Genomic DNA, 14,648 nt, shown 5'->3' with positions numbered 1-14,648 from the left:
AGTCCTTTTAGCAAAATGAGATGGTCCAGGTTCTTATCATAGACGTTACATAACTAGGCCCTTTCTGTTGAATGATTACATGAATAATAATCTCATATATATATATATCCCTAGAAATATATTGTTCAGCAGAGCACAGTGGCTCCTGGCTCATTTGGGAAGCTGAAACAGGTAGATCTCTTGAGCCCAGGAGTTCAAGACTAGCCTAGCAACATGGCAAAACCCTGTCTCTACAAAGCAATACAAAAATAAGCTGAGCGTGGTGGCACACGCCTGTAGTCCCAGCTACTCAGGAGGCTGAGGTGGGAGGATCACTTAAGCCCAGGAGGTCAAGACTGCACTGAGCCATGATCTTGCCACTGCATTCCAGCCTGGGTGACAGAGCTAGACCTTGTCTCAAAATAAATAAATAAATAAATAAATAAATAAATAAATAAATAAATAAATAAAAATATTGTTCATGCACTAGTTATTATGTCTGAGAATTTACTTAGGGTCTGAGACTTTGCTTATATAATCAATCTCACCATTATCACTTTGACTACAGTGCTTTTTGTCCCTTTGTGTTTATCTTCTGATTTGAGTAATAACTGCAAAATATCTTCACTTATTTTTCTTCTTGGGTGGAAAATGAAAAATTCTGAATTTGCAACTGTGTTCAATTCAAGCTAAAAAAGAAACACTACAAAGATGATGTTTCTAGACTTCTATAATCAGGGTTCAATTGACCCATACAATAACTGTACTGTATTATTAAAAAAGTAAACTTTGCCTTTATTTTTTGCAAAGTCTTTAAAAAAGAATAAAGCCATGAACTATTATAATCTTTACTAACAGTTAAAATATTTATAAATAAAAGTCAAAAACTAAATTTGGGTCTCTAGTGTTAAGCTTAAGAGTTAAGTCAAGCAAAGAGTGCAACAATACAAACGAGGAAAGACTATTTCAAGAAGCTACAGTCTAACATTGGGGGCAGACAAGTAAGGTGATAATCACAGAACAGTGGTTTAACAGAGTGCTCTAATAATTGATTTATACAAGTGTTATGAGGAAAAAAAGGTGAGGAGCCTAAAACCAGATTGAAGAAGTTCAGAGCAAGTTTCGAAGTTCTTTGCAAAAATATGCAAGAATCGCAGGATATGGGGTGGGGGTGAAAGGTCATATGAAGCAAAAGGAAAAGCATGTGTGGGGTGTGGCAACAGACTGCTGGAGAGGGAGAGTAACAATATACTAAATTATGGAATCTATTCTAAAAGCAATAAGGAATCACTGAGGGACTTTTACCAAATAGAATGGCACAAAGGGGCTGGGTGCTGGGTGAAGTGGCTCACACCTGTAATCCCAGCAATTTGGGTGGTAAGGTGGGCGGACTGCTTAATTACAGGAGTTCAAGACCAGCCTGGGCAACATAGCAAGACCCTATCTCTACAGAAACTTAAAAAAGAAATTAGCCAGGCTTGATGGCACACACTTACAGTCCCAGGTTCTTGGGAGACTGAGGCAGGAAGATCACTTGAGCCTGGCAAGTTGAGGCTGCGGTGAGCCGAGATTGCACCACTGCACCCCAGCCTGGGCAACAGAGCAAAATCCCATCTCAAGAAGGAAAGAGGAACGACATACCAGATTTGTGCTTTGGGTTTTGAAAACTCAAGAAGGGAGGCAACGAATAATCAGGAGGGCAACTGCAGTAATTGAGGCCAAAAATAATGAGGGATACACATTAGCCAGTGGCAATGTTTAAAAAGGCAAAATGGGTGAGAGAAGGAGTCTAGGATGATGCCCCAGTTTTTGCAAATTTGGGGGAAAGTTAACAAACTTTGATATAATATTGTTATTACTATAAATGAAAAATGTATCTTGGAATAAAATCAATTTCCATTCTTTCAACACAAAATCTAGTTGTAGATATCTAAAGGAAATTAATTTCTATATTAATTGTAAAACAGGTAATTATTAGAAGGAAATAATCCCAATAACATTAGCATATAAATCAGTAGACCAGTACTGCAGTTTAGATTTAATCCTGGATATGTTATTAATTAAAATCCAATAGCACATTATCCTGTGATAACAACTAACTAGGGCTGGGTAGTCACTGCCCCCTTTTGGTGGCTAAGAGTTGTCCTGTTCACCACAGTCTCCTGGTTCTATGAAGACATCTGAGTCTGTAACATCTGGACAGATGAACGATATAATTACATTTTTACCAAGAAAGTCTGAAATCATTTACAAGGCCTGTAATTCTCTAGTCCTGTCCATCCTGGCCATGCTGAGTACATAAAAAACTGTTTCAAAAGTGTCTTTTATATATTCACTGAGAATTATGATCATCACTATATGGACAAAACAAGATATATCTTCAGACTGGATATTGCTTGAGCTACCAGTTTATGACTTTCCAGTTAAGGAGGACAGAGGCAAGCTGGCTCCTAAGGCAGGAGACATTCCTCGTGGTGGGAAATAACGAACACATTTTTTAGAACAGTATCATAAATTGTATTTTCTAAAGATGGCCACAACAGCATCTCCTATACCACATTCTTCTAGAATTGCACTGATCTATAAAGACTGCCATGTGCATACGTGGAAATTTCAATTTCAATTAAAATGATATAAATTATAAAATTCAGTTCCTTTGTCTAAGCACACATCAAATGCTAAATAGTGGCTACTATACTGAACAGTGTAGACACAGAACAATCCAATTATCACAGAAAGCCATACTGAACAATAGCCACTTCCCCATCAAGAGTTGGAATCTAATTATCCCCCACTTGAATCCAGGAGGGTTTATGACTCACCTGTAATCAAGAGAATGTGGTGGAAATGATGGTGTATGATAACAAAGCTAGGTTACAAAAGGTAAAGCTAGGTCAGAAAAGGCAACCTTAGCCAGCTAGAAGACTCACACTGGAGCCTTCAGCTACCATGTAAGCATCCTGAGGCTGCTGCCATACTGTGAAGAAGCCCAAACCAGCCCACATGGAGAGACCACATGGAGAAGCTCTAACAGAGAGAGAGAGGTCCTAACATTCCCCAGCCGCTCCGGACTCCTACTGTTTCAGCTTAACCACCTGTCTGACGGCAATCCTGGGGGACAGAGCCAGAACCATCCAAATGAGCTCTTCCTGAATTTCTGACCCATAAAAACAATAAGAGGATAAAGTCACTGTTGATGTTGTAAATAATTTAGTTTTGAGGTCATTTGTGACAAAAGATTACTGAAACAGAAAATAATATAACCAGTTTTAATCTGTGGCTTATAATAAGTTCTGTTGTAAAATCCTATTATTAGCCCAAAATCTCATTACAATTTGCTATGCACGTAACAAGATAATGGTTACTAGGCTAAGTTTCAAGGTGGGAAAATGTTAATAATTTTTAAAAAGTATACAAAATTATATATAAGCTAAGATTATGTAAAAATCCCACAAGGCATTAAAAAAAGTCAAAGGAAATACATACAAATGCTAGGAGCGCTTGTGTTAATTACTGAGATCTAAGATTTTTCTAATTTCTCAATTTCATGGTTCAAAACTGTATTTAGTGTGGAAGATATTGTACAAACTTTATATTTTTAAGAAAGCTCTTTTTTCCTAAAGATAATGGTTATTTTTAAAATCACTTAAAACTGCGAGGCGGAGTTGCAGTGAGCTGAGATTGCGCCAGTGCACTCCAGCCTGGGCAACAGTGAGACTCCATCTCAAAAAAAATAAACAAAAATTAAAATTAAAAATGAAAAAAAAAATGAACTTTCTAGAACAATAACCAGATTTTACCTGCTTATCTCACAAGCCACTCGTCCTTTCATCTCTATTACATCAGAAGAAGTAGCAAATCCCAACCTTCTTAAAACACGTTTGCGACATTTGAGTTCATCCATTTGTAGGACTGTTCTTGCTTTCTTCAGTTCTCGCTTTGCAGATTTAATATCTATTGCAATCTAAAGCACATGAAAGTATAAAGAAAGTTCAATAATAAAGTGAACAATGTACAAGGAGATTTATTCATGAAATCAAACAAAAAATATTTTTAAAGAACATCTTACAGTATACTTCTGGGTTAAAGCTTCAGTGCTGGGGAGACTGGGGAAACTGGAGCTTCTTAGATACATTCCCGGAACATTACACAAGAGTAATGATGTATCTGTAAAGTTATTAAATACTACCTAAAATATTAAGTACATGGAAAATACAAAATGTCCATTTGAAAAATTTGAGGCAGAGCAAGCAGATGTTAGAAAGTGTAAAAAGCTTGAGACAGAGAACAGAGGCCGGGCGCAATGGCTCACACCTGTAATCCCAGCACTTTGGGAGGCTGAGGTGGGTGGATCACGAGGTTCCTGGCCAACATGGTGAAACTCCGTCTGTACTAAAAACACACATACAAAAAATCAGCTGGGCATGGTGGCGGGCGCATGCCTGTAGTCCCAGCTACTCAGGAGGCTGAGGCAGGAGAATTGCTTTAACCCGGGAGGTAGAGGTTGCACTGAGCCGTGATGATGCCACTGCACTCCAGCCTGGCAAGAAAGCGAGATTCCGTCTTAAAAAAAAAAAAGAAAAAAAAAAAAGAGAACAGAGCACAGCTCTTGCTTAAATGGAGAGAGGTAAGGAGGAAGGCTAGAAGGAGGAGAGTGAGCTGGATATTGTGAGCTAGACAAGGTAGGCTGTAAGAGTAGAAAAAGTCAGTGGTGAATTTAGGATAGGCTCTCCCAAGACAGGATTCACTAGACAATTAATCACGGTCCAAAAGTACCAATCCCAGCAGCTCTAGCTTTTCATCCTTAGGGCATCAGGGGGTAGCTTAGAGAACAGGGAAAGAAAAATGAGGGTACAGAAATCTTTTCTCTTGACTATCTATATTTCCCCCATGATGTCCTGAAAACTATTCCTTCTCTTTGCCCTTAAGTTAAATCACGAATTTGCCTAGGCTGGAAATGGTTTTAGCAAAGAGAATAGGCCTTTATTCAAAACATAAATGAAACCTTAAAATGAAAATGTATCACCTTGATGTCATCCTTTAGAGTAGATAAGTTTTAAAATTTAGTTAATCAGTAAATATTACATATTTTCTGACTATGACAAGCATACAGTAGTACAAGAACAAAAAACAATGGTATCCTGAAGTGGTGGTTCAGAAAAACACCGACAGAAAAGTTTTGATAAGTTGAAATCCGAAGATAATGGAATTTTTTAGACTGTTTATTAAACTTCTACTAAGGAGGAAAAATTATGAAGGTGATCAGCAACTGATATTTATTCAGAGACTACCAATGTCCTCTATTTCTAGTGCTTTACATTATTTCATTCTTATAGCAATCCTAAAAGGTAGGGAACTAATATTAAATCTGCATTTTACAGATGAGAAAACTGAGGCACGGAGAGATTACTAAGTAAATTGGTCAAGAATACAGAGCTACTGAGTGATAAAGATGGAGTTCAAAGCCAGGCTAGCAGACCCTAGAATCCAAGCTCTTTTCAATTATTTATATTGCTGTGAACAGGGCTACTGAGTGATAAAGATGGGGTTCAAACCCAGGGTATCAGACCCTAGATGCAAGCTCTTAGTGATTATTTATATTTCTATGAACAGATGTGTAGTCACAATGCCATGTCATAGGAAGCAATGCTTTCCAAGCTAGACAATGAATGCTATGCTACCTAGCATGACTTATCAGGCCTACCAGAGTAAAAGGAACAAACCATTGTTTTTTAGGGTTTCTTTGACTGAAGTGACTGAGGATGCCTATGTGAGCAGAGCAAAGCATCGTGCTAATAACTGTGAGGCTTATAAAGCTTAGAAGGTAGAAGAGAGTCCAATATTTAAGACATTTTTTCTTGAGTAATGTTTGTATTTTGAATATAAAAATACGTGAAATATTTTAGATATAATGGGTTAAATAAAAATATTACTGAAGTTAATGCCACTGGTTTTTTCTTTCTTTTTTAAAATGTGGCTACTAAAAAATTTAAATGTGGCTGACACCAGACAATGCTGTACAAGATCTTTCCCAACATATTTATAAAAGAACACAGATATACAGTTGGCCCTACATATCCGTGGGTTCCACATCCATGGATTGAACCAACTGTGGATCAAAAATATTGGGAAAAAAAATGTCTGGACTGCACATGTACACTTTTTTTTTGTTTTTGTTTTTTTTTAAAGAGATAGGGTCTCACTCTGTCACCCAGGCTGGAGTACAGTCGTGCAACCATGGCTCACTGTAGCCTCAACCTCCTTGGCTTAAGTGACCTTCCTACCTCAGCCTCCTGAGTACCTGGGATGACAGGTGCATGCTACCATGCCTGGCTAATTTTTAAAATTTTTTTGCAGTGATGGGGGTCTCATCATCTTGTCCAGGGTGGTCTCAAACTTCTGGGCTTCAAGTGATCTTCCCGCCTTGGCCTCCCAAAGTGTTGGGATTACAGGAGTAAGCCACTGTGCCCAGGCTGTATTTTTCTTCCATTAAAAAAAAAAGAAATTATATATATACACACACACACACACACACATACATACACATACACACACACACACACACATATAATGTGCTTATATTTATATATCATGTGCTTATATACATATAAGCACATTATAGACAATGATGGGGAGGGGGCAGGAAAAGAAAAAAAAAAGACCACTATAATCTTATTGCTGTAACACAACCACTTAAAGTTTTCCTTTCAGTCTTTTCTGGTGTATTTTATATTTTTGCTAAATAGTAATCATAGTCCACTTCAATTTCAGATCCTTTTTTCATGTTATGCTTATGCATGAGCTTTCTTACATGTTATTGCAGAGTCTCCATAACAACTTTATTTAGCCAGTCCCTTCAGCCAGACAAGGTCTTTTTCAGTATATTTGAGCAGCTCAGATAATGCCTTCAAACCACCTCCAAGGATGCTTTCCAATCATTCAATCACGCTCAAGTCTACCTGTTCTTGTGTTGTGAAAACATAAGGCCGACCCTGGTGGCCATGGAGGGACTGACAGCAGGGAGAGAGCTGCTGCAATGGTCCTGGTTAAGAGATGAACAGGTGAGAATCACAACTGGATATCTGTGTAAGTAATGAAAGTTTGTTGTGTCCCAGTTTCCTCATCTTGAGAAGTACCTGGCAAGCTTCCTGCCTAGCAGCACTTGAAGGTGGGTCAGAGCATAGATGTGTTCACTGAGCATGCAGCCAGTATTGTGTATATGCTACAGCACCATATGATGTAAGTTCACAAAAAGCTAGAAGGGAGAGTGCTTTAAAACTATGAACTGAACACATTACTCTATTAAAGGAGTTTCTACTCATGTATTTATCCAATAAACACTGGGCATTTACTTTATAAAGACAGACCATTATGAGAAAATGTAAAGTTAAAATGAAACATCTGACTCTAAGGAGCTTAAAATCTAGTTTGTGAGACACAAAGACAAATGTATTGATAAAAGTGGTATGTGATAAAAGTTGAAAAAGTACAACAGCAAGGAGTTGTAAGTTTCATGGAGGAAAGGAGATTTGTATAGTATAATACATTCCAGTTGAAAAAAAGTAGGTAGTGGAAAGGATTGTGTTCACGTCAAAAAGCTTTTTCTAAATTTGCTATACAGAATGCTTATAATAATGGTTTTACTGGTTAGATATTACAGCTAATTATGCTAAAAAGCTGAACTACTAACATTTGACGCTATTAAGATGGCTACAGCAAAAACCACAGACAATAACACATGCTGGCGAAGATGTAGAGAAAGCAGTTATCTTGCAAATTGCTAGTGAGAACATAAAGTGGTGTAGCCATTTTGGAAACAGTCTGGTAGTTTCTGAGAATAAAGGTAAATATAGAGTTACCATATGATCCATCAATCCTACCTAATTCCACTCAAGAGAACTCAAAACATCCATACAAAAACTTGTATACAAATGTTCACAGCAGCATTATTCATCAGAGCCAAAAAGTTAGAAAAAAACAAATGTCCTGTCCATCAACTGATGAATGGGTAAACAAAATATGGCATATCCACATAACAAAATATAATTTAGCCAGGCCAGGTGCGGTGGCTCATGCCTGTAATCCCGGCACTTTGGGAGGCTGAGGCAAGTGGATAATATGAGGTCAGGAGTTCAAGACCAGCCTGGCCAACATGGCGAAACCCCGTCTCTAATAAAAATACAAAAATTAGCTGGGCATGGTGGTGCGTGCCTGTAATCCCAGCTACTAGGGAGGCTGAGGCAGAAGAATCACTTGAACCCGGGAGGCAGAGGTTGCAGTGAGCCATAATCATGCCACTGGACTGAAGCCTGGGTGACGGAGCAGGACTCTGTCTCACACACACACACGCATGCACGGACGCACGCACACACACAAGATTTGGCCTTAAAAGGAATGAAGTACTGATTTATGCTATGACAGGCATAAACCCTGAAGACATGCTAACTGAAAGACAGCAGACACAAACATCATATATTACATGATTCTATTTATAAGAAATATCCAGAATAGGCAAAACCATACAGATAGAAAGATTTGTGATTGCCAAGGGCTGGAGGATGGGAGAAACAGAGAGTGGCTGCTAATGGGTATAAAGTTCCTTCAGAGGGTGAGAAGAATGTTCTGAAGTTACATAGTGGTGATGGTTGCAAGTATCTGTGAATACACTAAAAACCAGTGAGTTGGACATTTTAAAAGGGTGAATGCTATGCTGTGTAAATTATATCTCAAATTTAAAAAAGAAGAAAAAACAGAACATCCTATGTGAAATATCAAACTATAGCAAAATGAACTTTATCTTGTCTTGCTGATGAGAGCTGACAGGTTCAGAGCTGACAGTTTATTTAAAAGATAGCTCACATTTTCCTGTTTTAGCCAATTAAACCAACAGGATAAGAAAATGACAAACACATATTTATTCAGTGAAACATATAGAATTCTACTATAAAAACCAAATTTCTGCCATACCTGTGCTTTTTTTTCACAAAGCGTATACACAGTTTCCAAATTTGGATCATTGTGAAGTGGATGAGAATACATTCGATGCTCAAAAGCTTCTACTTTCTGAATGACTTTTTTCAGCCCTTGATCTTGAATGCCCATATCATCAATAGGGTCTAATAAGGGGATGCCGTCAGGAAAACGTTTCTGAACTTCCTGAAAAAAATATGTAAAATTCATTTTCATCTTATAGTCAAAATTAGTAAGACCAAACCAAATCAGTGTTTCCCTTTTTTTCTATGCACATGGACATAAAAAGTATACTACATATATAATTTTGTCTTTTGCCAATTTAAATTATAGGGCATTTTTCCATTGCATTTATTTTTGAAAACTCTTTTTCAACGCTATACTATGATTTACAGATGTATTATGATTTGTTAATAAATCTACAAGTCACAATTTGATCATAGTCCTGAACGTGGCACAACTTATTGCTAAATTCATTATTGTATATTTACATTGTTGTAACTTCTTGCCATCAAAAGTAATCTTGTATTGAGCATCTATGTTTAAACTGTTTTCAGATTATTTCCTTGGTGTTGATGCCTAGGGAGGGCACTACTGACTTGTAAAGTATAGACTTTTTAAAAAGTCCTGAGGGCCAGGCGCGGTGGCTCACGCCTGTAATCCCAGCACTTTGGGAGGCCGAGGTGGGCGGATCACAAGGTCAGGAGATCGAGACCATCCTGGCTAACACGGTGAAACCCCGTCTCTACTAAAAATACAAAAAATTAGCCAGGCGTGGTGGTGGGCGCCTGTAGTCCCAGCTACTAGGGAGGCTGAGGCAAGAGAATGGCGTGAACCCGGGAGGTGGAGCTTGCGGTGAGCCGAGATTGCGCCACTGCACTCTGGCTTGAGCGACAGAGCAAGACTCCGTCTCAAAAAAATAAAAAAATAAAAAATAAAAGGTCCTGAGACCTTTAGCTTAAAGAAAAACATGATTAATGGTTAAATGCAATAGACATATTCATACAGAGAAGAAACAGCTCACTGTAGGCTGGTATCCTACTGAGAAACTTTCAGGGTCTTGGATAAGCCTTAAAGATAAGGTAGGATTTGGCTAGTTAGGAACTGGGAATTGGGGAGGAGAAACACATTAAGAGTGACAAACAAATGTAAAGGGTTCAAAGACATTTGCACATTATGTCCTAAATGAGCAAATAAGGCAAGCTCTTTCAAAAGACTGATATCTCTGGTAAGTGCATATGGTACAGTTTCAGGATATATGTCTGCCCTAATCAAAGCAGGCTAGTGTCAGCACAAAAATCCTACACGAGCCTGGCCAAGTTTTATATATAAAGAAACTGAGTCACTGGTGTGAGGTTCCAGAACAGAGAAAACACTAAAATTGCGGTTCTGAAGTTTAAAAAGTATAATTAATGTAGCTAAAGGGAAATCTTTATTTATTATGTGAAGGGTCCTGTTGGCAGGCTAATTTCCCCAATTCTTCCTCCTGTGGCTTCTCACTATGTGGTGAATGATGTAAACGACTATGAAGAACCAAGAAAAAAATAGTCTAACTTTGTTTAAAACATGTTGCAAAACTGAGACTCAGATTATCATGAAATTAATGTGAAAGCTGAAATATATCAACACCAGATACAGCACAGGGATGTTTAAGACAAATACAGACAAGCCTGACATTTGCCAATAGACAAAGAAAAATTAATTTCAATTTTCACTTTAGCAAAATGACAACTGACCTAACCCAGAAGTACAAAACAATTAGTTTTTTCAAAATAATGGCATTACTTAATGCTAAGTTAATAATGATTAATGTGTATTTCTGCTCAAAACTGTGCTATTCTGAAAATATCAGAAAAAACAATTTCAATGAACTTATAAGATATTTATTTACTACCAGACCAATAGTGATAAAAACCTTCTAGGAGTGATTGTTTTGGAAAAGATATCCACATCTACATAAAAATTTTGTAAAACTGTCAGAGAATCACTCATTTCAGGAAGCCCACCATTGGAACACAGCTTAAAAATTCCTACTCTACTCTGAAAGCATCCTACTTATCTTTGCTTTCTCAGATTTTAGTACAGAGCCTTCACTGCACAGTAAATGCTCTTCAAACTATTAACTAACTAAATAACTTCGTTAAAATCACTTCCTTGTTTTTTTTTTTTTTTCTTAAAAGAGACAAGTTCTCACTCTGTTGCACATGCTAGAGTGCAGTGATGTGATCACAGCTTACTGTAGAGCCTGGAACTCCTGGGATCAAGTGAACCTCCTGCCTTGGCCTCCTGAGTAACTGGGATTATAGATGCATACCACTGAGTCCTACTAATTTCTTTTTAAATTAGTTTTACATTTTTTGTAGAGATGGGGGTCTCACTATGTTGCCCAGGCTGGTTTCAAATTCCTGGCCTCTGGTGATCCTTTGTGCTGTGGCATCCCAGAGAGCTGGGATTACAGGCATGAACCACTGCACCTTTTTTCTACTAGGAAATTAAATTTACTACAAAATCTCAATTTTCCCTATTGAAAATAAAACAATTTCATGTATTTATTAACTATATTAAAAAATGGTTAAATGTCCTGTCAGTACATGATTTTATACATAAAACTTGTAATACAGTCTATAGCTTTCACTCATAATGAATAAAGCAGAATGGTTTTCCTTGTGAGTCCTCCTTTACTAACTCACTTTGTTGGTAGATTCAAAGAGAGTACAAATCCACATGAAGGTCTGCTGCCTTTATTTTTATGAAAAATAATTGTCACTATTGGTAGTATTTATAGGTATTCTGAAAGAAAGCAATATATTTAAAAGCATTTCAGTTGCCTCTTTATAAACACTACCTGTATTTACATAAAATTTATACTTAACTTATGAAATTAACACATACCTGTATTGATTTTAAAACACTCTGTCTATTGTCCACCGGCCGAAGGTCTTTAGGAATGTAAAGCCTAACACTGCTGATAGCAGACAGGAGATGCACCAAAACTGGGACAACCTATGACCAAAAAGTTATACAGTATTACAGTTAAATTTGCACATGTTCATATTCTACTATTTCCTAAACTTGGATCCCTAAAGAGGAAGTTGCATTTATGGTATGTAACAGGTATAAGAAGTACATAATAATCACCGTGAAGCATTCTCCCACACTGAAGCTTTTCTTATTAGAGACTGTATTTAAAAAATAAAAACCAGTTCAAACTTCTAAATAACAGGTAAATAAATGGTACATAAAAATAAGAGCTCCCCTCAATACAGAATGCACACTTTACTCATTTTTATGGTCTCAGATATTTGGCAGTTCAAAAATATTAATACATAAAGGTACTATAGTACTAAGAATGAAAGACTCTTGTTAACAGGTTTAGGAAGTCAAGAAAGATTCATGTAAGTTCTGGATGGGCAGAAATGAAGAAGTATTTCAAAGACAGAAAGCAGCATATTCCATTAGACATAATCTTGAAGAACACCTATCTGCAAACTTTCTTCCATGTTTTCTCTTGTCAAAATGGCACATTATCGACATCAAATTTTGCTTCCTTTCAACTGCTCTTGAATCCAGAGAGCCTCTATAAACTGAGGCAAAGTTAATGTTTCCACAGGTCCAAATCTGTCTTCCATGGCTACTTTTACACTGATCACTGATGAAAACACAATTTTCACTGGCTTGCTGATAGCAAATACATTCACAGTGCTTTACTGAACAAAAACGGTACAGTGATTGAACTCAGTCTTCAGCTAGTTGTGTGACCTTGCACAAATTATCTAACCTTTCTAGATTTTCTAGTACAGGTAGAAAGGTTCGATAATTTGCCAAACTTGCCAAAAAAGGTTTAGTTTGTCAAACCATTAACAGCAGTTTTTTTCTTTCTAGTTAAAGTTTTTGGGGTGGGGTGTTTTTTCTTTCTTCCTGCCTGCCTCTTCCTCCTCTTCCTTTTTTAATCATTTGAAATTAACTTGCAGACATCACTTCACTTGACCAGCAAATACATGTATATGTTAAGAACAAGCACATTCTCCTGCAAAGCTATAATGTTGTAAGATCTAAGGAAATATCATATACAATCCCTATTCAGATTTCCCCACTGACCCACTAATGACCTTTATACATTACTATTACCATCATACTTTTGGATTCAGGGTCCAGCCAAGGATCATAAACTGGATTTAGTGGTCATGTCTCCTTAGTCTTCTTTAATCTAAAAATATACCCCACCTTTCTTGCTCTTTCATGGTACTGACATTTTCACAGAATTCCAAGTTTACAGAAAACTTGTAAGAATGAAATAAATCCCACATACCCTTATTTCAATTCACTAATTAGTTATATTTTGCCTATTTGCTTCATCGTTCTCTTTCTACACACATAAAGTACAAGTATTAAAAGAGGAAAATCTAATGTCGAGACAATGATATCATCTAATCTGTAGTCCATATTAAGATTTCGTCCTCTTTCACAATAATGTCTTTTATACCACTGTACCTTCCCCACCACTACTCCATGGAACCAAACTAGGATCATGCATTGATGTCACATTTCTTTCTTCTTTAATCTGGAACAGTTCCCCAGTTTTCTGTGTCTCTCAAGACCTTGATTTTTTAAAAAGAATATAGGTTATTTTATAAAATGAGTCTCAGTTTGGGTTTCTCTAGTTATGAGGAATCATAAGATTCAGATTATCCATTTTTGGTGGAAGTCATGTTCTGTTCTACTCAGTCCACTAGTCAACATTATTAGAGATAATGTTGATCACTTTGATCATTCAATTAAGGTGCTATCTGCAGGATTCTTTATTATAGTATTATTTACTATTTTACTCTCTACAATTAAGAAATTTGTAGGGAGAGCCTTTAGAGACTTTGTAAATATCCTTTCTTCATTAAACTTTCAGTTTGCCAGTTTCAGCATCCACGGATGATTCTTGCCATAGTAAATTACTATTTGTGGTAGTTGCCTAATGGTGACTTTTCTAACTTTTATTTTATTTTATTTATTTTATTTTTTGAGACAGAGTCTTGCTCTGTCGCCCAGGCTGGAGTGCAATGGCATGATCTCGGCTCACTGAAATCTCTACCTCCCGGGTTCAAGCAATTTTTCTGCCTCAGCCTCCTGAGTAGCTGGGATTATAGGCGTGTGCCACCATGCCCAACTAATTTTTATATTTTTAGTAGAGACGGGGTTTCGCCATGTTGATCAGGCTGGTCTCGAACTCCTGACCTCAAGTGATCCACCCATCTCAGCCTCCCACAGTGCTGGGATTAAAGGCGTGAGCCACCACGGCCAGCCATTTCCTTTATATTTTATATATCTCTCTCTGGATGCATGGATTATTTTATTTTCATATGGTTATAAATCCTTTACTATCTTTTTTTTTTTTGAGATGGATTCTTGCTCTGCCACCCAGGCTGGAGTGCAGCGGTGCGATCTCGGTTCACTGCAATCTCCGCCTCCTGGGTTCAAGTGATTCAACTGCCTCAGCCTCCCGAGTAGCTGGGACTACAGGCACCTGCCACCATGCCTGGCTAATTTCTGTATTTTTAGTAGAGATGGGGTTACACCATGTTAGACAGGCTGGTCTTAAACTCCTGACCTCAGGTGATCTGCCCGCCTTTGCCTCCCAAAATGCTGGGATTACAGGTGTGAGCCACCACGCCCGGCCCTTTACTATCATTTTTATTTTTACTTCCAAA

General features: G+C 37.5%; 1 protein-coding gene and 1 long non-coding RNA gene across 2 annotated transcripts in view; both read right to left on the bottom strand.

Annotated features, from left to right (window-relative positions):
• The window catches only part of MTREX (Mtr4 exosome RNA helicase), a 117,591-nt gene that overhangs the window by 16,212 nt on the left and 86,731 nt on the right, over positions 1-14,648 (bottom strand). Inside the window, exons 20-22 of the mRNA NM_015360.5 lie at positions 11,842-11,952; positions 8,947-9,135; positions 3,780-3,943 (exon numbers count right to left, since the gene is read on the bottom strand). Of these exons, the coding sequence (NP_056175.3) occupies positions 3,780-3,943; positions 8,947-9,135; positions 11,842-11,952 (464 nt within the window). The remainder of the gene's footprint in view (positions 1-3,779; positions 3,944-8,946; positions 9,136-11,841; positions 11,953-14,648) is intronic.
• LOC124900977 (uncharacterized) lies at positions 3,984-4,337 on the bottom strand. The gene is made up of 2 exons (XR_007058772.1): positions 4,294-4,337; positions 3,984-4,146 (listed from the first exon to the last, which is right to left on the bottom strand). It is a non-coding gene; the product is annotated as an uncharacterized LOC124900977 (long non-coding RNA).

The sequence above is a fragment of the Homo sapiens genome, chromosome 5 (assembly GCF_000001405.40).
Source record: "Homo sapiens chromosome 5, GRCh38.p14 Primary Assembly".
NCBI classification, from domain to species: Eukaryota; Metazoa; Chordata; class Mammalia; order Primates; family Hominidae; genus Homo; species Homo sapiens.
The sequence above is the reverse complement of the archived record's forward strand: the minus strand, read 5'-3'. Positions and strand labels throughout refer to the sequence as shown.